We start from the raw sequence: 24,243 nt of genomic DNA on the forward strand, positions 1-24,243 counted from the left end.
ATGAGAATTCAGTTGCTCCAAATTTTTGTCCACATTTGGTGTTGTCAGACTTTTCTATTTTAGCCATTCTGTTGGGTGTGCAGTGGTAGCTTATTGTAGTTTAAATTTGCATTCCCTTGATAAAGTTATTGAACATTTTTTCATGTGCTTCCGGTTTTTCTTTATTTTATTTTAATGTGTATGTATTTTACATCTAACTATATCTCTTTATCCATCAAAAGTTATTTTGATTATGATTTGAGGTAAATCTCTAAATTAATTTTTTTCTAAATAATCAGTTAACCCAGAACAATGCATTAAATAATACTTTTATTATTATTACTATTATTATTTTTTGAGATGGGAGTCTCACTGTGTTGCCCAGGCTGGAGTGCAGTGGTGCGATCTCAGCTTACTGCAACCTCCGCCTCCCAGGTTCAAGCAATGCTCCTGCTTCAGCCTCCTGAGTAGCTGGGATTACAGCCACCACCACGCCTGGCTAGTTTTTGTATTTTTTAGTAGAGATGAGGTTTCATCATTTTGGCCATTTTCTTCTGGTCTTGAACTCCTGACCTCAGTTGATCCACCCACCTTGGCCTCCCAAAGTGCTGGGATTACAGACGTGAACCACCGCGCCCAGCCAATACTTTTTTTTTTTTTTTGAGACGGAGTCTGGCTCTGTCGCCCAGGCTGGAGTGCAGTGGTGCAATCTCGGCCCACTGCAAGCTCCGCCTCCCGGGTTCACGCCATTCTCCTGCCTCAGCCTCCTGAGTAGCTGGGACTGCAGGAGCCCGCCACCAGGCCCGGCTAATTTTTTCGTATTTTTAGTAGAGACTGGGTTTCACCATGTTAGCGAGGATGGTCTCGATTTCCTGACCTCGTGATCCGCCCGGCTCGGCCTCCCAAAGTGCTGGGATTACAGGCGTGAGCCACCGCGCCCGGCCGCCAATACTTTTATTCTCTGCTAATTTGTGATGCTTTATTTACCATAAAGTTCTCATATGTACAGTGGTCTCAGAATATCTATTCTATGTCTTGATATGTACATTTTTACACTTGTTCTTTTGCAAGTTCCATACTCTTATCGATACTTGCTTTTAAAAATGATTTAAGAGCTGGCAAGGCCCCAGTCTCATCATTCCTTTTCATGTTCAACATTTTCTTTGTTGCCGGGCGTGGTGGTTCACGTCTGTAATCTCAGCACTTTGGGAAGCAGAGGCGGGCGGATCCCCTGAGGTAGGGGGTTCGAGACCAGCCTGACCAAGATGGAGAAACCCCCATCTCTACTAAAAATATAAAATTAGCTGGGCATAGTGGCGCATGCCTGTAATCCCAGCTACTCAGGAGGCTGAGGCAGAGAAGGATGGCTTGAACCCGGGAGGCGGAGGTTGCAGTGAGCTGAGATTGCACCATTGAGCTACAGCCTGAGCAACAAGAGTGAAATTCAGTCTCAAAAACCAAACAAAACAAAAAACATTTTATTTGCTGTTCATACTTAATTATTATTTTGGTTGAACATTAGAATGATTTTGTGAAATTCTGAAAAGAATACTATTGAGATTTTTATTGAAATTATATTGACCATTCAAATTAATTTGCAAAGCACTGACTTCGTTGCCATAAAGCTTAGTATTCAAACCTGCATTTCCCAATAGCATTTTATAATTTTTTCATACGGGTCCTTCGCATTCTCATTATAGCTTTTCCAAGGCATTCCATAGAAGTTTCCAATGTCATCATTGTTGATATTTGCTGTTGTCATTTTATCTTTTCTAAAAGTTGTATTTTCTAATTGGATAATAGTTCTATATAGAAAAGCAATGTAGCAAATTTCTACATACAAATTTTTATACAGACAATTTGTATATACAAAAGGTACTTGGCTTTTGTGTCTTTTTTATATTTAGCAGTTTTCTTGGGCTCTCATATCGATTCTAATAATTCTTAGTTGAATTGTTCTTTTGAATTTCCGGGAATGTAATTATATCATGTACAAGTAATTGCAAATCTATTTTCTCCCTTCCAGTGTTTGTGCATCTTATTTTTATAAGTGCCCTATTTCATTGGTTAGAACTTTCAGGTCAAAATTTAGTAAAAATGGCCACAAACTATATCTTTGTTTTGGTCCTGATTTTAATAATATTGCCTTAGTATTTCATCCTTAAAGATGACTTTGACTGTTTGAAATAAACACTTTTTGTTATGTTAATAAAAGTTCTTAAATTTGTAATTATTTTTTAATAGGGACCAGCTGTTGAATTCTAATGTATTTCCTGCATTAATTGAGAATCTTATTTGGATTTTCTTTTTTAGCCTGTGGATGTAATATATTATACTATTGGATTTTAAAGATCTTAAAACATAAAATCTTTTTATTTTAGATTAAACCCTCCTTGGGTTATTTTGATACTGTTATCTGAATTTGGATTTTCTTTTCTATGTTCATAATTTAGATAGGTTTATTATCTTCTTTTTTTGAGCTGTCTTTTTCAGGGTTTTATATCAGGGTCATCTCTGTTAAGTAAATTAGATAGATTTTCCATATTTGTCAATGTTTGAAATTACTGAAACATAGTGATTACGTATTCCTTAAGAATTGAAAGATTTTTTTCCTGTAAAGTTTTCTAGGCCTAGACACATTTTTTTTCCTGGAGGGAAATCTTTCCTTTTTTTCTAAGTTCTTCAGCCGTGATTGGCATATGTAGGTTTTATACTTCTAATTTTGATAATGTATATATTTTCAGACTATTCATTTCATCTAGGTTTTCAGATTTATAATTTATAATTTTGCAAAGTATTGTCTTATATTTAAAATATCTCCTCCTTATCTGGTGCTGAACCTCCCCTTTTTATTTCTAATTTTATTATTCATAGGGTTTTTTTTTCTTCTTTAGTTTCTCTAATATTTGTCTACTTTATTACTTTTTAAAAAAAGTGCTCTTGAATTAATTCCGTAAGTTTTCCTATATCCTAATTCAGTTAGTTTTGGTTTTGCCTTTAGTCTTTTCTGTCTACTGATTTCTTAGGGATTTTGTTGTCATTGTTGTTTTTATAAACCCTTGGGTTGAATGCTTTTATTTTTCCTTTCCTTGAAAATAAAAACAAATAAGATTGTAACTTCAACTTTTAGTACAACTTTCATATTTTCATATTTTCTTAGTACAATATTTCATACCTTTTGATATATTGTGCTCTTATTTTAATTATCTTCTAACTGCTATGTTCTTATACTTTAATTTCTGTTTTAATTTTCTGTCCTTATATTTAATGATTTTTTGTTTTAATTTCTATTATTAATAGCTAGTTATACTGCACTGTGATCAAATAATCAAGCTTATATAATTTTTGTTTCTTAAAATATCTCTCATTTTGGTATATTCATCACAAATGCTTTCTCCTGTTCTATAATATCTTTTCATTTTGTTTGTGTTGTCTTTTTTAACACATAGTTTTTTTCTCTTAATGTAATCAAATATATCCCTCTTATTTTATTGTTTGTATGTTTGTATCTTATATAAAATATTTCTGCACTTGATGATAATGAGTGTATCTTCCTATATATTGTTTTTTCTCAAGGTTGCAAAGTTTTGCCTTTCACATCTGTGTCTTTAATCTTTATGGCTGATGTGAGTGAGAATCTAATTTAACTTACTCCCATATGGATAACCAGTTGTCCCAGTCTCATGAGTTCCTCCCATTGCTTTGTGAGGCTATTTCAGTCATGTACAGAGCTTCCTTGTGTATATAGGTTATTTATGGGCTTTTGTTCGGTTCCATTAATCTATTTCTATTCCCTATGCCAGTACTACCACAATCTTTTCAATAAGTCTAAATATCTAACAAGACAAGTCCTGCTACCCTATTTTCTTCTTCTTCCAAATTTTCTTGGCTCTTCCTGGCCCATTCACATGAATTTTAGAATTAGCTTCTTAAGAATTGTGCACACACACACACGCATTTTGAAGATTTTTAATATGAAAATTTCATCAAATCTACAAATAAATATGGAGATGGCTAATATTTTTATGGGAATCTTGCATGATACCACGACACCAGAGGTGCCACCAAGATGACTAACATTTTTATATTACTGAGTACTGTAATCAATAAACATAGTAATTCTCTCCATTTATTTAGGTCTTCTTGTATTTTATTCAATAATACTTTCATAGTTTTCTTCTTTGAGGTCTTTCATACCTTTTAACAAATTTATTTCTAGGTGCCATGTAATTTCTGTTACTATTATAAATGGGATTTTTTCAATTATATTTTCTAATTAGTTATTACTATTAAGAATGCTATTGATTTTTGCATGTTTTTTGTATCTAGCAACCTTTGCTGGACAGTTTTTAGTTCTAAGAGTATGTGAATGTTCTTGACTTCTTTATGTAGACAATCACATTTTCAGCAAACGAAAACAGCCTCTAATCTTTCTCTTTTTCCATTGTTTTATATTACATCAGTTAAGAACTTCAGTATAATGCTGAATAGAGGCTTATAACTTATAGCCTTCTGTAATTTCTGACTTTAATGAAAATGTCTCTAAAATAGTACCAATTAATATAATATTTGCTTGTAGAGTTTTGATGTATAGCCTTTGTCAGGTAAGGAAAGTTGCCTTCTATACCTAGTTTGCTAAGATTTTTAAAACCACGAATGAATGCTATATTCTGTCAATGCCTTTTCTGCATTTCTTGAGATACTAAAAAGATAAAAGATAAAGGAAAAAGGCCTTTCTTTTTAATTTGTTAATTTAATAAGTTTTCAAATCTTGAATTATTCTTTCATTCTTGAGATGAAATTCCACTTGGTCAAGATATTTTCTTTAAGATTTTGTATCTACATGAAAAATGAGATTAAGTTATAATTTTCCTTATTTGGATTGTCCCTGTCTGGCTTTAATATCTCAAAAAATAAGTTCGGAAATTCTCTTCCTTTTTCCTCCTACCCTCTGAAAGAATTTTTGTCGTTTAAAGCAGGGCTTATCTATTTCTTAAAAATCTGGTAAATGTTTGGGCCTGATGTCTTTGGAGATGGAAGAACTTTTGATTAATAATTTAATTTCTTTAGTAGCTAAGGCTTAGTTCTGGTTTTATCTGAATAAATTACCAAATTTTATTTTTTTCTTGAAAATTATTTATTTTTCCTAAGTTTCCATATTTATTCAGATGCAGTTAATAGTATTCTTTATGTATTTTAAAATCTCCACTGTATCTATTTCTATCCCTTTTTATTGCCACTTTCTGTTTGTGTTTTTCTCATTTTTATTGATTGGTTGAGCTCAGGGTTGATCTTTTTCTGTAAGTTGTTTCAAAAAACTAACTTTGTGTTTTATTCATCTTCCCTAAATATAATTTCTTTCATTCTTCTCTTATATTATTTTCTTATTTCTAGTTTAGATTTCTCTATTGTGCTTGCCTAGTTTCTTAAGTTGAACACTTTACTTATTTATTGTGCTGTTTTTATTTGTTTATTCATTTTGCTTTTACTGATTTTTTTTCTTAAGTAGAACTCTACTTGTCCTTTTGACCACAGCAAGGACCTCAGCACTTTTTGATTACATGTGGACCCTGTTCCCCATCTTATTTTTATTCCAGAGTTAAAGTTTTTAAAGATAAAAAAGTTATTAAAAAATATTCTTTTCTTTTCTTTTCTTTTTTTTTTTTTTTTTTTTTTTTGAGGCAGAGTCTCGCTCTGTCGCCCAGGCTGGAGTGCAATGGTGTGATCTCGGCTCACTGCAACCTCCGCCTCCCGGGTTCAAGTGATTCTCCTACCTCAGCCTCCCGAGTAGATGGGATTACAGGCACGTGCCATCACACCCGGCTGATTTTTTTTTTGTATTTTTAGTAGAGACGGGGTTTCACCACGTTGGCCAGGATGGTCTCCATCTCTTGACCTCGTAATCCACCCGCCTTGGCCTCCCAAAGTACCGGGATTACAGGCGTGAGCCACCGAGCCCGGCCCAAAATAAAATATTCTTTAGTAGTTCTTTAAGTGACAGTCTGTGGTTGGTAAACTCTCTTCATCGTTGGATGCCTGAAATTCTTTATTTTTCAGGGTATAGAATTTGAGACTGGTATTTATTTTCCCTCTGCACTTTGAACATATTACCCTTATTATCTCCTAGAATCTATTGATGTCTATGAGAAGGCTGCTGTCAGACTAATTTTTATTCCTTTGTAGGTAAATTCATTTATCTCTTTAACCTTTTTTTAACTGACAGATAAAATGATATATATTTATAGTGTTCAATGTGATTTTTAAAGTAAAATTATAACATGGAATGACTAAATCTAGCTAATTAACGTGTACATTACCTCACATAGTTATCATTTTTGTGCTGGAAACACTTAGCATTCACTCTGTTAAGCATTTTTCAAGAATACAATATATTGTTATTAACTATAGTCACTATGTGGTACAGTAGATCTCAAACTTATTCCTTCTAACTGAAATCTTATATCCTTTGACCAACATCGCTTCAACTCACCAGCCCCACCCCCATCCTACCCCCACCACGGCCTCAGCTCTCGGTAACCACCATTCTGCTCTCTGCTTCTGTAAGATCAACTTTTTTCAATTCCCACATATGAGTGAGATCACGTAGTATTTGTTTTTCCTTGCCTGGCATATGTCATGTAACATAATGTCCTCCAGATTCATCCATGTTGTGGCAAATGACAGGATTTGTTTCTTTTTTCACAGCTGAATAATATTTCATTGTGTACATATACCACATTTTCTCTATTCATTCATCTGTTAATGGCCACTTAGGTTGATTCCATATCTTGGCTATTCTGAATAATGCTGCAATGAACCTGAAGTGCAGATATCTCTTTGACATACTGTTTTCATTTCCTTTGAATACATTACTCAGTAGTTGGATTGCTGGATCATATGGTAATTCTATTTTTAATTTTTTGAGGAACCTCCATACTGTTTTTCATAATGGCTGTTCCAATTTATATTCACACCAACAGTGTGAAAGGGTTTCCTTTTCTCCACATCCTCACCAACATTTTCTATCTTTTCTGGATAATAGTCACTCTGATGTGTGAGGTGATACCTGTTAACTTATGATTATCTCTTTATTCATAGTGTTCTGCAATTCAGCTGCAATTTATCTTCACTTCTAGAAAATTCTCAGCCATTATGTCTTTAAATATTGCATCACTGTCATTTCCTCCTTTCTCTTCTTTCAGAATTTTTGTTACATTAGAGTTGGTATCTATGAGAAGGCTGCTTGCTGTCAGACTAATTTTTATCCCTTTGTAGATAAATTCATTTAACTCTTTAATCTTTTTTAACTGACAGATGAAATGATACGTATTTATAGTGTACAATATGATCAATCAATCTTCCATGTCTCTTAATACTTTCTCTTCTTTGCCTGTATTCTGGATGTGTTCCTCCGCACCATTTTCCACTTCACTAATGCCTTCTTCAACTTTATCCAGGCAGAAATTTTCTATCTGGTGCATTTTAAATTTCAATGTTTATACTAATCATTTCTGAGGTTTTTTTTAGTTGGCTCTTTTTTCTACCTTTAACCGGGAGTAGAATCTTGTCCTGACTATTCACTTTGTTGGCTGTCTTCCTTAGCATTAGATTTCTTCATGTATTTTGAAAGCTGAGTTTGCAGGCTCATTTCAGGGGAAAGTGATGTTTGTTTTGTTTGGTTTTCTGTCTTTTTCTCCCTCACTCGGTGCTCATCCCTCCTTCTTCTCCACTATTGCAGTGGTCCACTCAGCCCTCCAGCTCCCCGTCCCAGAACCAGAGTCTCTGGGGGCATTTCAGGGTTACTGTTGCTCAGTGACGATAGGGACAGAGCAGACCCAGGCATGGACTCATTCCCAACCACCAGGCTGTGTCTGTGTCCTTCCACACCCCTAGACAAGCAACTTCTAGGAGCTAGAGCCCCAGGCAGCTCTCTGGAGACTTTTTTTTTTTTTTTTTTTTTTTGAGACAGAGTCTCACTCTGTTGCCCAGGCTGGAGTGCAGTGGCACAATCTCAGCTCACTGCAACCTTCACCTCCCAGGTTCAAGTGATTCTCCTGCCTCAGCCTCCCGAGTAGCTGGGATTACGGGCATGCACCACCATGCCTGGTTAATTTTTGTATTTTTAGTAGAGACGGGGTTTCACCATGTAGGCCAGGCTGGTCTCAAACTCCTGACCTCAGGCAATCCACCTGCCTCAGCCTCCCAAAGTGCTGGGATTACAGGCATGGCTCCCAGACTTCTGGAGCCTTTTTATTTAGCCTTCCTTTCCAAGCTTGGGAAACTCAGTTCCATGTACCTTCCCCATCATAAAACTCTAAGCACCACAAAGAGCAGGGCAGTATATATTTTTTTATTACCAGCATATCCCCAGTGCATAAAATAGTGCCAACACATGGTAAACTGAGTGAATGAATGATGGCTAACATGTCAAAAACTGAAGGACTGAACCTTTGGAGTTTAATCTGGAGCTTTGTTTACTCCCAGTCCCTCTGGGGGAACGGTCAGCCTAGTACACAGCCCAACTTTTATCTGTAGAAGAGAAGACGCATTGGTGTAAGAGTTAAAAGACCTTGGTTTTAGGGCTGGCTCTGCCCTTGCCTAGTTAAGTCACGTAATCACCCTAAATCCAGGATTCCTCTTCTGTAAAATGAGTATCTCATGGTAGAATAACAATGCTGTATCCAGATGTGATGGCTGCTTCATTAGCCTGGGCTCTGAGAAAAACAGCAGATCCCAGCCGATGTGGAGTAGGGTGAATGAGAAATAAACTATCTTGGTTAAGAAACAGATTTGTAGACTGGGCACAGTGGCTCACGCCTGTAATTCCAGCACTTTGGGAGGCCGAGGCAGGTGGATCATGAGGTCAGGAGATCGAGACCATCCTGGCTAACATGGTGAAACCCCGTCTCTACTAAAAAAAAAAAAAAAACTTAGCTGGGCCTGGTGCTGTGTGCCTGTAATCCCAGCTACTCTGGAGGCTGAGGCAGGAGAATCTTGCCTCTCAGGCTTGAACCTGGGAGGCGGAGCTTGCAGTGAGCCGAGATCGAGCCATTGCATTCCAGCCTGGTGACAAAGCTAGACTCCGTCTCAAAAAAAAAGAAAGAAAGAAACAGTTGTAGAGTTGTTTGTTACTACAGCATAATTTAAGCTATACTGATGGATACAATTACTTACTTGTATCCTTCTTCTCTACAGAGTGTGAGCTCTATTGGGAGGAAGAATGCTTTCATTTTCACTACTGTTTACTTTCAAATTTCCACTTTTTTTTTTTTTGAGATGGAGTCTTGCTCTGTTGCCCGTGCAGTGGCACGATCTCTGCTCACTGCAACCTCCGCCTCCCAGGCCCAAGTGACCCTCACACCTCAGCCTCCTGAGTAGGTAGCACTACAGGTGCATACCACCACACCAGGCTAATTTTTGTATTTTTAGTAGAGACTGTTGGCCAGGCTGGTCTCGAACTCCTGAGTTCAAGTGATGATCCACCTGTTTTCACCTCCCAAAGCACTGGGATTACAGGCGTGAACCACCATACCCAGCCTTCACTTTCTTATGTAATATATGATAGTCATTCTTCACTCTGTGTTCACTACTGAGGACAAACATTAAAATCCAGTAATTATCCCACATTTGCAGCACTCTAATTTTCTGAGAAAATTGTGACATTGTCTAGGATTTCCAAAACTGTAGTAATATATTTTGTTTGTTTATTTATTTATTTTGAGACAGAGTCTCGCTCTGTCACCCAGGCTGGAGTGCAGTGGCACAATCTCAGCTTACTGCAACCTTCACCTCCCGGGTTCAAGTGATTCTCCCACCTCAGTCTCCCGAATAGCTGGGATTACAGGTGCCCCCCACCATGCCCGGCTAATTTTTGTATTTTTAGTAGAGACAGGGTTTCACCACGTTGGGCAGGCTGGTCTCGGACTCCTGGCCTCAAGTGATCTGCCCAACTTGGCCTCCCAAAGTGATGGGATGACAGGCGTGCGCCACTGCACCTGGCCATATAATAGTATATTTTACAGTGCTGTGGTACTTTTTCCAGAGAGGGATGGGAAGACAAAACTTTTGACTTGGATATAATTTAAAGTTTTCATGAGGACATGCAACACGGTTATGTGACTCAGTAACACAGTGCTGCCTAAGGGCTGGCGCGTGCGCAGGTCTGCCGGCCCCTGCAGGGCTCTTGGAGTTCTTGGTCTTGTGTCTCAGTGGGGTTTCTGCTCGTATGCTCTCAGTGTACCTGACTTTAGTGGAAGTCCTAGCCACATTCCTAGTTTGTTCCCCTGCACCTGCTTGAGACAGAAAGTCAAAAAACCAAGACCTTTTTGAGTAGATATGTAAGAAAAGCTCAGCAGTGCCCTGAGTGAACTGCATGAACCCATGGCATTTCTTATGGGTGTCATAGGAGTTTTATTTTGTTGTTGATGACGTTGTTTGTGTCAATGGAAGAATGTTTTATGGAATTTGAAATACAAAAACTGTTTGTGGTTCCTTAGACACTTGCACTGCAATAGAAAATTATACTTTATCGTAAAATTAATGGTTTGAAGAGAAATAGACAGCATAAACAAAATATGGTCCATACTATGAAAATGCAAACCATACAATGGTGATTTTGATTTTCATAAAATGAAAATCCTAAAATAATTACTCAGTACCCAGAGACATACTTAATATATACATGTGAAATATCTTACACACAGATATAATAAAAGCTTGCCAGCATTTTGATATTTGAAGTTTTCAGATACATGGCTTCTAGATAAAGGATATAATTGCATATTCTTAAGGAAATATAGTTTTATTATTTTCGAGGAATAGACATCAGAACTCAGTTAAGAGGATGCTATTTGGGGTCTTCTTTTAATGAATATAAAAAAAGCAATTCATAACAAGCACATTGGTTTCTGAGTAAAATGAAGCTTCTGAAATGTGTGAAGAATGCTTGAAAACAATGTTTTGTAAGCCAGTGAAACATCTCCCTTCCCCTCACTTACAGGATTGCAAAATTTAGCAAATGAAAATACATCAGGCCCAGGTAAGCATGAATTTCAAATAGAAACAAAGAATTTTTAGTGTACTATATCCCAAACATTGAAGGGGACAGACTTATATTTGCGATTTATCTGGAATTCACACTTAACTGGGTGCTCCGTACTTTATCTGGCAACCCTTCCCACCTCAGAAGTTAACCTTCATTGTGCACCACCTTTTAGGAAGGAACCAGGCCAGCCTCTGTAAATTCTGTATTGGTGAGCTCGTATTAATGCATTTTCTTTTGCACATCTTGAGGCTCATAAAGAGACTGAAGTCGCCAACCAATGGCTCTCAAACCCAATGCACCCTGGCAAAGCAAAGCAGGGCAGCCTTCAGAACTTCTCCAAGGGGAGGGCTGTGTGGGTTCTCCCCCACAAAGCTCTATTTTAGTCACAGTCATTAGTGCTGGAGAAAACACACACTGGTCATGGGATTCACCTTTTGCCATGTCGCAAGAAAGTCAGTAAAATAATGCCTGAAAGAAGGCTTGGGCTTCCGTCCCCTGCACTGAGCACTCTGGTAGTAACCTTCTGAAACATGCCTGTGCGTTTTTTTCAACAGTCAAAGCTCCTGACATCTCTCCCTGCAGAGGGATTGAGCAGCACTTTTAAACCAGAGACTGAGTGATTTCAGGCAAGTATTCCGGCCTTTCCATGAGACCTGCACTTAGGAGAAAGGAGGGGAAAGGCCAACTTGACTGAGCTCTTGATAGAAATACATTTGCTTACTTAATCTTCATTAGCTCCCGCTGAAGTATAATTCTCAGTTTACACACCGAGAAACAGAGGCTCAGAGAAGTCAAGCTGTTGCCGAGTCGCAGAGCCAGTAGCAGAGCTTGGATTCCAATCCAGGTCTCTTGGGTTGCAAAAGGCTGACCCCTATTTCCATGGTACCACCCTTCATCTCTCCAGGGAAAGGGAAAGCGCTAAAGAATGCCAGGGTTATGGAATGTTCTAGGGGAGAGCATAGGCTGTCATGGGGCAGGCTCACTCCTAACTGGTTTCTGAGAGAAGAATATGAGGTATAACAAAATGAAAATGGGCTTCATAGCTAGACACTTCAGTGTCTGAAGCCTGCCTCCACTGCTTTTTAGCTGTGTGACTTTGTTACCTAATTTCTCTCTCTGTTTTTTTTTAAGTGATGGGATCTCGCTATGTTGCCCAGGCTGGTGCAGTGGCTGTTCACAGGCATGCTCATAGTGCACTACACTCTGGAACCCCTGGGCTCAAGTGATCCTCCTGTTTCAGCCTCCCGAGTTTCATTTCTCTTTATCAGTCAAGATGCCAGCAGGAAACTGATGGCACACACAGCAGGTTTAACTGAGGAGAGTTTAGCAAAGGGACTATTAACTGAGGCTTGGGCAGGATTACAGGAACCCACAGGGGATGGTGAAGCACTGAGGAACTAGTAATTGCAGAAAGCTGTCACCACCCAGGCCTACAGGGCAAGAGGAGGGAATATTTTATTGGATCCTGTTGAAAGCTGGCATCATGGACAAGGGCCAACTGACAGGGGCTGTGGCCCTGAAGAAACACGACCACTGTCGGAACAAAACCCTGGAACAGAGGTCCCAACCTTGACCTCTCTCCTTCCCTAGCCAGCAGTGCAGGTTATAAGTCTGTAGAGTTTAGCCCCTCAGGGCACAGAGGAGGGCAGGAAGTGGATGGAAGGGGTGGGGCATAGTAATCGGAGAATAACAACACTCCCGCTGGGCATCAGTTTCCTTTTTTTAAAATGGGAATCATAGTATCTACCATGTGGCATTGTTGTAAAGATTAGAAATACATAGACTGACGCATTCAACAGGTATTTACCAAGTATCTACCATATCCTGGGCTCTCTCCCACAGATACAGTGATGACCAAAACAGACCGTATCTCTGCCCTCATGGTAGGTGAAACGCAAGAAAGCCAGACGTTACATAAGTATTTACAAGGGGGAGGAGATAAAATATCACCTCTCACACACAGGGTACTCATAGTACTTGTAAATAGTAGCTATAATTATTTCTTAAAGTCCCCCAAAGAGACCTATGCTGCATACCACTTCTTGATTTCTTATACCAATATGTATTTATGAACAACTTTTACCGTCCGGACAGATTTTCTCCCACTGGAATACAAAGTTCTGAGCATCCTGAAAGCAGAAAACAGCTGTTACTCCCTGTGTTAGTCAGGGTTCTCCAGGGAAACAAAACCAATAAGATGCATGTGTATAAGAGATTTATTGTAAGGGACTTGGCTCATGCAATTATGGAGGTTGGTGGGCCACTAGATCTGTAGTCAGCAAGCTTGAGGAGCCAATGGTGCAGTTCCAGTCTGAGGCTGGGAGGCTCAAGACCCAGGAGGAGCTGATGTTTCAATTCAAGTCCAAAGGCAGGAAAAAACTGATGTCCCAGCTCAAAGGCAGTCAGGCAGGAGGAGTTACCTTTTACTCAGCCTTTTTGCTGTCTTCAGGACTTCAGACAACTGGATGAGGCCTACCTACAAGGGGGAGGACGATCTGCTTCCCTTGATCCATCAGTTTAAATGCTAAGGTCACCCAAAATGCCCTCACAGAAACACCCAGAATCATGCTTGACCAAATAACTGGGCACCCCATGGCCCAGTCAAGCTGACACATAAAATTCATCATCATGCTATGCTGGAGTTAAAATTCTTTATAAAGTTGTCCCTCACTTTCCCCTTCCTGCCTAACATGGCCTCTCTCTTTCACCTGGAGTCTCTCCAAGTACGGCTCCCGGGCCACCTGGATGGAACCTTTGTGGGAACTTTCTGGTCACTCAGATAGCAGGGCCCCAGGCAGGCTTTGTGTGTGAGGATACCTGGGACAGAGACTCAGAAATCTGCATGGTAAACACAGCCCTGTGGCTGCCCATTCTCCAGCCCTGTGATCACCTTATGGTGTCCCCTCTCCAACCTGTCAGATACCAAAAGGAGGAGAAGAGAAACCCTACAAGATAAGATGTGTTCTGAGTGTCGGAGGGGTGGGAGGGCCTCTAAGGGGACAGAGAGAAGTGCCTGAATAGTGAGGCAGATCCACAGGATGGTGAGAGAAAGGATTACTAACAGAGCTGGGGGGTGAAAGGTGAGCGGGGCTCCTGTGTGTGGCAGCTCTGGGGCTGCTGAGCCCAGGGGACGTGAAGGCGCTGCTGGAGCCTCCTACCTGTCGACCTCTCCAGACTCAGCCTGGCTTCCTCTGCCTTGCCCCCGTGCCCAGTCCTGGCGAACTTCCTTCAGTTCATCAAACAGCTGAATCCCTTCCTGCCTCAGGACCTTGGCTGGTGCTGTTGCCTCTGCCTAGAGCCCTCTTCTTAGGATTCTCTGCATGGCTGGCACCTTCTCCTTCAGGCTTCACCATCAGAGGAGCTCTCTGTGGAGGGGCCACCTCAAACCACCCCATCTGATGTAGGGGCTTGCCTCTGTTTTCCCGGAGAATTTATGAAGACATGTGGTTTTAAAGATTTATCTGTGTGTGAAGCAGGAGCAAGTTTCATAGGCCACATATTCATGTGTGCAAAACTGTAATCGATTATATTTTGTAATTCTTAGTTTCTGAACCCTCCCTCTGTCACAGAAAACAGAGTCTTCTTCAGATAAACTCAGCCAAATGAAGGGTTACAGGATCATTTCTGGTTATCGACCTAGGCAGATTTTCTCCCATTCTTCCTGGAGGGGTCTCAGTTCTAGGTGTGTGTGTGTGTGTATGCATGTAATGAGGGTTACTTTTGCCCTGGTGCCAAGAGAGAGAGGCACCTGCTCCATGGTTGTTGCTCTTTGTCCACAGTGGCTTTGTTGAGGTGTGAGGTTCCCCGGGCCTTTAGTCATTGGCACCCATCCTCCTGACTTCCTCCCAAATGACCCAGGATATGTTGTGGTCTCCAGTGGCCTTGGCATTCTCCTTTTCCCAAAATTGTTGGGTCCTCCAGCCCCTCTCAACCCTCTGGGGTCCTGCCCGTGGGCAGGGGAGGTCCTGGCTCCTTTTTTTGCACCAGACTGTGAGTCTGTCCTCAGCCTGGATGCCTCACTCAGCCATGCCTCTTCTACCTTCACACACAGGATTCTGGGGGAAGTTACCTGTGGAAGGGGGCTCAGGGCACCTCCATCCTGGGGTTCCCTAATTTGTCATGAAGTTTCTATTATCTCTTGACCCAGAGCTTGACTGGGGAAGGAGGACACACACAGGCAGCTCCCCTATGTCTCCCTCTCCCCTTTCTCCCTTTCTGCTAAGCTGGTGAATTTTTATTTGGGGCAAGCCAGTGGGAGGGAATACTCTTCTTAGGACATGGCACTTTCTTCCTCTTTGCTGCTCAAAGTGCAGAGTTAATGACGTAGCAGTGACTCCATGGGGCATCTTCAGCACCAAGAGCAATGCCTGGCATGCAGTGAGCACTAAAGGAGTATTCGGTGAATGAATGAATGACTACATCGGTATGAGTTTGCCATCTTGAATAATATTCCTGCCCTGAATAACTTTGGAGAAAGTGCCAAAGAACTTCATTTGGTGAGAATTTCCAATCTCCACCACAAAGTAGCTGTCATCCATGCCTCAAGAGTGACAGCATGAGCCCTCTGGAAGCCAGACATGAATTGACGTGGGAGAAAATAAACATGTGAAGTGCTGAGCTGGCAACATGCCCCAGTTACCTTTGAATTTTATGGGAAGGCAAAAAATAACCAACAGTTATCACGCTAAGCCTTAAAAAGTGACTTTTTGATCAGGTCAGTGCTGCAACCTTAAGAATCCCAAAGGTAATTGATGGGGAGCCAATTCTCAGTTTCACCCAAGTCCCTGCAGGGCCCTGGGGAAAGTACAATGAGCAGCTTCTTACTGTGAAAGTGACGCTGGGCTGGGCCCTCCGCAGGGCAGAGGAGCCCTCCAGGTGCAGAGAAGCTCTGGGGACTTTCTGTCTCTGACGAATGAACATTTTCACCAACTCTGACACAAGTTTTGCTTTTTTCTCTTAAAGTGGAATGGGTGAGTTAGAGGGAAGGCGGGAGAAGAAGATTACGTTTCGGAGAAGAGCTTCCAAGTTGAAAACAATGGAAGCTAAAAAATAGAGGAAAGTGATGTATTTAAAAGACCGTGTTTGATAGAATCCTACAATAATAATACCGTGCTTAAATTATACATAATTGGCGTTCAATAAATGCTTGGGATGAATACATTAATAAATGAAGAATATTTGTACCTATGAGTTTTTATCTGCATTAGACAGACTTTATGGAAAGCTGACCTGAGAACTAAAATATTCCTTTATGATATTGTTTCTATGGGAAAATATGTTTTGCATTCCAAACAACTGACTTGTGAGTGGGCTTTTGCAGAAGTCAGGATTGCTGCCATGGGGGTGGGTTATGTGACGCAAACCACAATCTCTAGTCTGTACCTCTTGTGACCAACCCACATGCTTAGAAGCCCACAGGCTGGACTCAGGGAAGCTGCCATTGGTCAAGGAACAAAGTTTTGCTAACACGGAAATACCCCAGAATATGAACTTAAAACACAGGGCAGAAAACAGTAAATAAAATCCAGCCTTTCCATTGAAATAAAATCCAGCCTTTCAAATGGAACTTCAGTTGTAACTCCAGTTAAAATGAAGCATTAACCGTTCATTCACTCACTCATACATATGTGTGTATCTCCTGCCTTTCGTCCCAAGTATCCTGCAAATAACTCTGCAGGGATTTAAAAAATGAATTATCTTAAAGGACAGACAGGACAGGAAGACAGATAACAGCAGACAAGAGATGTCAACAGAATTGTGGGAAATGGGGAGTGTGGGATACGGTGCCTGTACTTAGTTTAGCAATGCAGCAGTGCAAGCGAGGCACCTGCTGGGGCGGCGGGGGTGGGGGCGGGTTTCATTCCCTCTGTAGACCCCTGTGAGACTCAGCATGTGGGGTGACAGCGATTATGGGAGGTGAGTGAGAGGGAGAATGTTGAGACCAGGGAAAATTAGCCATTAAGTCTGACTCAATTTTGCTTTCCTCGGTAGCTTCTTCTACCCCTGCAGCCAGGTGTCTATCCCTCTCTCCTTGAGAAGCTTGTTTTAAGGAGACATTGAAACCCAACAGAAGAGGCTTAGGACTAGGAGACTCCCGGCAGGGTGTGGATTGGATGAAAACAAGGGGATTAATTGAAACTGCACGTTCTCCACTCCCCACCCTGCTCAGAAACAGCCCTAACCCGGCATGTTTCCACCAGCAACCACCAGGGAAAAGGTAGAACCAGTTGGCTCAAGAGTGAAGACAGGTTTGCTGACATTGTGTCCACCAATAAAGAATCACATCTCGTCACCCTAGGGTGTCACCACCGGGACACAAAATTCATTTCACACAAAGAGCTTTGGAGTCTCTTTTTAGCGCCTCATGCCTATCAGATTGGGGCAGCAGTAATTACCTTGTGGGTAGGATGAGAAGGACAGTTACTCTCTTTTTAAATTTAAATTTACTTTTTATCAAAGTAATACATGTACAGAGTTTAAAAACTCTAACAATACTATAAGGCTTATAATGAAAAAACAACAACCACAACAACAAAAAAACAGTCTCCCAGCTCATGCAACCCCACACCTGATTCCCACTCCCTGAAGGCAATTGCTTTCAATTCTTTTCACTGTATCTTCTCCATATTTATAAATCATGTGTGTATACTGCTCATTTCCTGATTTTTTCCATTTGGACATTATCTATTTCTTTCTTATTTTGGACATTTCGAATTTTGCTTTCTTCCTCCACCATCCACATAATCACTCCTTCAAATGCTCAAAATGATGCCATATTTTAGTCGCCTTCATACTTGGCAATAACTTCCTTTTCAAAAATATAAGTAATACATGTATATAGCTTTTTTGTGTGAATATGAAGACATATTTATATTTTTAAATAAAATTATTCTTCTAATCTGAAGCCATCTAAAATATAGCATCGCTTTGAACATTTGAACCCAGGTCATGAGAGAGAGTCTGTTTTTCTGCTTTCACTAGGCACATTCTCCTTGAAGTGGCCATGAGTGGTGACTGTGGCCGGGTGGAGAAATGTGATCCTAGCACACTCGGCATCACAGCACTCCCGGGTTGACACAGTCATAATAATGCAAACCTTGTCTATTAGCTCTCCACTCTTAAAATCAACCTACCCACAAAGCAAGGAAGACATGAGAATGGAAACAGAGCTCATTGTAAATGTTTTCATTCTTGATGCAAAATTAAAGGTACAAATAGCAGATAATGGGAGCAAGGGAGAGACAGAAGGGAACTGTGCTGATATCCTCAGCTAATGTACTAGGGAGTCAAAAGTTACTTTCTAGATGGAGGAAGAAATAGAAGGTTAAGTATATCATATAAGTGTACAGAGGGAACCCATAGAAGAACTAAATTATAAATAAAAAAGTTGGGGGAAAGGAATAAGAGATTATGTTCAATTTTATAGAGGTGAGTCCAAAGAGCACCTGTAATCCCAGCCATTTGGGAGGCTGAGGCAGGAGAATCGCTTGACCCCAGGAAGGTGGAGGTGGCAGTGAGCCAAGATTGCACCACTGCACTCCAGCTTGCACAACAAGAGTGAGACACCGTCTCAAAAAAAAAAAGAAAGAAAAAGAAGAAGAAAAAAAGAATGTCTTAAATTGACCAAGAAACTGTTTTTAAAAAGTCACATAAGCTAATTGATCGGTCCTGATCACTGACTCTTGGTCAACTTTTTTTTTTTTTTTTTAAGGAAAAAACAAAACTTCAGTTTAACGTTTCTGCAATGCAAGCTTGTGATTTATGATTACTCTCTAAGTGGATATCAGGATTGTTATGAAGACTTAAGGCCCAGTATTTTTTAATAGAATACTCATCTAGGATGTAACAGTGAAGCTGAGTAAACTATAACTGTTAAACTTAAGTTCCAGCTTTTCTCAAGTTAGTTATAGGATGTACTTAAGCAGTAAGTGTATTTAGGTAAAAGCAGTTGAATTATGTTAAATGTTGCCCTTTGCCATGTTACATTGAACACTGTTTGGTTGCATGTTGAAAGACATGCTTTTATTTTTTTGTAAAACAATATAGGAACTGTGTCTACAATTAAAAGTGAAACATTTTGGCATGTTTGTTAATTCTAGTTTCATTTAATAATCTGTAAGGCACGTAAGTTTAAGCTTTTTTTTTTTTAAGTTAATGGGAAAAATTTGAGACACAATACCAATACTTAGGATTTTGGTCTTGGTGTTTGTATGAAATTCTGAGGCCCTGATTTAAATCTTTCATTGTATTGTGATTTCCTTTTAGGTATATTGCGCTAAGTGAAACTTGTCAAATAAATCCTTTTAAAAACTGCAAAAAAAAAATGTCACATAAGCATACTTTTTGGAGTTAGGAAGTTCACCATCCAAATAATTTTTAAAAGAGGTCGTTAAAGGTAGTAGTCTCTGGTTGGTGGCATGTGTGTGGGGTGAGCCCTGCTAGTTTTCAGTATAAACACTTCCTTATAATCTGATTTCTTTTATCTCGTGCATATATTACTTCAATTTTTAAAACGTAACAGGTGGAAATACTCAAAAATTGAATTCAGTGTGAACACAGAGCCATAAATGCGGATACTCATTTTGCAACGGCCATCTGTATTATTGTGCCATCAGAAATTGCACATTTCCCAGGCACCACTTTGAATGGTAATATAAGCTTAATGGGTCTCCTGTTGAAAGACTTACCGAGTTAGCGTTGGATATGGGCAGCATTAGGGAAGCAGGATAATGTACTTTCATGGCTCTTACTATAAGGTAAGGGCGCCAACCACTTAGATGAGGAGGAAAGACCTCACAGAAGTGAAAAATATTCCTTTATCATGTGCCTGGTTTCTTGTGCATCTTTGCAAAGAACATGGCTCTTGGTAGCCTCTCAGTTTGTTGAAAGAATACAATTCATAGCAATACACACAAGACCGTCCACCATCTGATCCCAACTTTTTCAGCCGCCTCTTCCCCTGTATCCTGTACCAGGGACATGTGGCTGCTCTCCCTTTCTGGAGAGATACATACTCCTTTATGCTTCCATATCTTTGCATATTCTGATCCTCTACTTGGAATGCTTTTCCCCACCTTCTTAAGGGCATGTGTTAAGACCCATCTTCCTAACGGAGCCTCCTGCACCGCAGTCTCCCCAGGCTCCTTAGACAGAGAGGTCCTCTCCTGACTGTTCTTGCCAGCCTGTGACATTCTGTTCCTCAACTATATTCAACAACTGCCACCAGGCTCCTCTTGCAAGGGAGAAAATCTAAAGTGATATCTTGGCTTATGTCTGTGGGAAAAATATAATCCAGAAGCTCAGGAAACCAGTTGAGAAGGTCATTGAGATGTTCTGGCAAGAGCAGAGGTCAGGATGTAGTTTTGAAAATGTAAGTGCTCTTTAGACACTCGATGGCCAAGGATTGGCCATGGGGAATGCTCTCCATCCCCCCCGCCCCAGTCCATTGTGTGCACTCTTCCAATCAGCTGGGCTCAGCTACGTTTGTGGGCAGATTTGCACTGTATTCATTTATCCTTGATAGTAAGGCATTCTGCAGTCATTTTTAAACTTTTTAATCATGGGAATTTGCAAACGTACACATATAAATCCTCATATACCTGAAATCCAGCTTTAACGATTATCAATACTTTGCCAATCTTATCTCATCTCCCCTTCCGCACACTTTTCTTTTATGGGGTGGTAGGGTAGGATGGGCATTTTTTAAATTTTTATTTATTTATTTATTTTTTGAGAAAGGGTTTCATTCTGCTGCCCAGGGTGGAGTGCAATGGAGCGATCTCGGATCACTGCAACCTCCGCCGGGTGGGAGTATTTTAAAGCAAATCATAGGCATCGCAGAGTATGTTTCTAACAGATAAGGACTTCTTTTAAAATTGCGGTACAAAGTACATAACATAAAATGTTCTATTTTAACCATTTGCAAGTGTACAATTCAGTGGCATTAAGTACCTTCACACTGTGTGCAACCATCACCACCATCTGTCTCCAGAACATTTGCATCATAAACTGAAACTCTGTACCCATTAAACAATAACTCCTCATTTCTCCCTCAACCTAGCCCCTAGTAACCACTATTCTACTTTCTGTCTCTGAATTTGACCATTCCAGACACTTCATCTAAGTGAAATCATACAGCATTTTTAAAAATCTGGTTTATTTCACTCATGTTTTCAACGTTCATCTAAGTATTTTATTCCTTTTAAAGACTGATAAGGGCTTTTAAGATAATAATCACAACATATCTAAAAAATTTAATAATAATTTTCTAATATCATCGAATTAGCTAATCTATGTTCACGTTTCCAAAAGTATGTCTTTAAATGTCATTTTACAGTTAGACAGAATCAGGATCCTAACAAGGTCCACACATTATATTTGGTTGATATGTCTCTTAAGTCTATTTTAACCTACCATATTCTTTCTCCTTATTTTTCATGCTATTTATTTGTTGAAGAAATGAGTTAATTTGTCCTGTAGAATTTCCCTCATTCTGGATTTGGCTGATTACATCCTCAGCATTGTTTAACCATTTCCTCTATCCTCTGAATTTCACAAAAACAAATGGTCAGATCTAGGGGCCGGATTGCATTCAGGTTCAACTACTTTGGTGGGCTGTGTGCTTTCTATTACATCACAGCAAGAGGCCCTTGTATCTGATGGTCTCACTTCTTGAGATAGTAAAACAGATCTGTGGGTTTGGGTGCTGCCAGCCCGATACATCCATTGATAACATGGCATTTAAAGATAAGTGTTCTTGGTAAGAGTGGCAATTCCTCAGGGTTCTAGAACTAGAAATACCATTTGACCCAGCCATCCCATTACTGGGTATATACCCAAAGGAATATAAATCATGCTGCTATAAAGACACATGCACATGTATGTTTATTGTGGCACTATTCACAATAGCAAAGACTTGGAACCAACCCAAATGTCCAACAGTGATAGACTGGATTAAGAAAATGTGGCCCATATACACCATGGAATACTATGCAGCCATAAAAAAATGAAGAGTTCATGTCCTTTGTAGGGACATGGATGAAACTGCAAACCATCATTCTCAGCAAACTATCACAAGGATGAAAAACCAAACACCGCATGTTCTCACTCATAGGTGGGAATTGAACAGTGAGAACACATGGACACAGGAAGGGGAACATCACACACCGGAGACTGTTGTGGGGTGGGGGGAGGGGGTAGGGATAGCATTAGGAGATATACCTAATGCTAAATGACGAGTTAATGGGTGCAGCACATCAACATGGTACATGTATACATATGTAGCAAAACTGCACATTGTGCACATGTACCCTAAAACTTAAAGTATAAAAAAAAAAAGTGTTCTTGGGTGTGGTGGCTCATACCTGTAACCATAGCACTTTGAGAGGCTGAAGTGGGAGGGTGGCTTGAGCCCAGGCATTCAAGACCAGCCTGGGCACCAAAGTGAGATCATCTGTACTAAAAAAAAGAAAATTAAAAAATTAGCCAGGCATGGTGGCATGTGCCTGTAGTCCCAGCTATTTGGGAGGCTGAGGCTAGAGGATCACTTGAGCCCAGGGGATCAAGGCTGCAGTGAGCTATGATTGCCCTAATGCACTCCAGCCTGGATGATAGAGAGAGACCCTGTCTCTTTAAAAAAAAAAAAAAAAAAAAAAAAAGTGTTCTTAAGACTTTGTAAATGATTGTAAGCATACCTATGTGTCTGTGTCTCTATTTATATCAGTCACCATTCTTAGCCCTAGGGCTGTCTTTATTTTTCTGTAGATCTTTAAAACTCCCCAAAGTCCCTGTTCAATCTGTGATGTTGAGTAGCCACTCCTGGAATTCTTGAGCTCTCAGATTTCATGTAAGATAGCACCCTATTTCCAATTAGTCCTTGAGTTGCCTGCACATGGGTGCTCACTCAGAGTCACACACATCCACCTGGAAGGAATCATCACCCACCTGCCTTGGTAGCCTGTTCCAATGTCTAAGCACTCCCAGAGCATAAGTCTTCCCTCTGTCTGGTCTAGCCCTCCCTGTGAAGTTAAATTCTGTTTCCTCCAGTTCGGGGCTCGGTGGAGCTGACGAGCAGCTGGCCAGCAGCCCCTGCAGATGAGGCCTGGGGAAATGATGCATGAGGCTAAGACACATTCCAGGTAGTCTACATGCTTCATGAATTTAATGGAAGACTGGCAAGGACTAGAATATGTTTTATTGCAACTTTCTAGCTGGGATTCATTATTTTTCTTTTAAAATTAAATACAAATAACTTATTTCTAAAAAGTAAATATTCAGAGACTATGAATGAAACAAACAAACAAAAAAGAAAACAAAAAACCTAACAATTTTCCAGAGTTGGCATTGTGCTTATTTTGTGCCTTTATAGATGAACAGAGTCCTACTGGTGTCAGATTTAAAAAGTCACTCTACCTCTTAAACATTTTGCCTTATTAGGGTGGAAGGGTCAAAGAGCAAGGAGGGAGAAGACAGAGCAGAGACACAGGGCAGAAGAGTCTCAGATGAGGGTGGCAGGGGTACAAGAGAGCCTGGGTCTATAGACAGAAACAGAGCATGTTGCTGAAACTGCCCAGACTCTTTATTTCAATCTCCAGTCTGTAAAATGGAGATGAAGCGCCCCGCCTGATCCCTTTTTAGGGTTGTGGGAGATGCAGAGGAGCTAATGGGTGTGAATGTGCTTTGTGGGCTGAAGCTACTGGGCCCCTTACAGGCCTACAGGTCAGGGGAAAGAAGAGAGTGTTGCCAGCACCTGTGAGCAGAATTAACCCATTGGCTGATTGCCTGGCCACCTGGACTTAGCATGTATTGAACTGAATACATGTGCAGGGGCTCACAGCCATTCCGATTCTAAAGACTGGTTAAGTTTCACAACAAAAACTGAGGATAATTGCAGGGTTGTCAATTATTGTTTTGCCATCTACTATTACAGTTATATTTATTTAAAAAGTAAAAGGATATTTTAATAATATCTCAACCACTGAGGATGGTAAGATGAGCAAAATAGGATACCCACTCCCAAGGAGTTCATAAAACTGTAGGGAAACACATGTATAAAAATATGTATATAAAGACCAAATAGATGTGTAGCCCCTAGGACTCTTTGGCTCGTTAGAAAAAACAGTACAAAATGGCTTAACAAAAAGTGGAGATTTGCCGGTTCATATAGCTGAAAACTCTGCAGAAAGTGTGGCTGCCACCCAGCTTGATATAGAGCCTCTTGG

At 40.2% G+C, this 24,243-nt stretch overlaps 1 protein-coding gene across 1 annotated transcript in view, besides 1 other annotated feature; it reads left to right on the forward strand.

The window, feature by feature from the left end:
• ATF3 (activating transcription factor 3) overlaps positions 1-24,243 on the forward strand; it is a 55,371-nt gene that overhangs the window by 5,682 nt on the left and 25,446 nt on the right. The gene's annotated exons all lie outside the window — the stretch shown is intronic.
• Positions 15,528-15,657: an enhancer, noted in NCBI's record as "active region_2509". NCBI's record gives its function as "activates an Ori minimal core promoter by ATAC-STARR-seq in GM12878 lymphoblastoid cells {active_cell/tissue: GM12878}" and the evidence as "EXISTENCE:reporter gene assay evidence [ECO:0000049][PMID:35858748]".

This window comes from Homo sapiens, chromosome 1, assembly GCF_000001405.40.
Source record: "Homo sapiens chromosome 1, GRCh38.p14 Primary Assembly".
NCBI classification, from domain to species: Eukaryota; Metazoa; Chordata; class Mammalia; order Primates; family Hominidae; genus Homo; species Homo sapiens.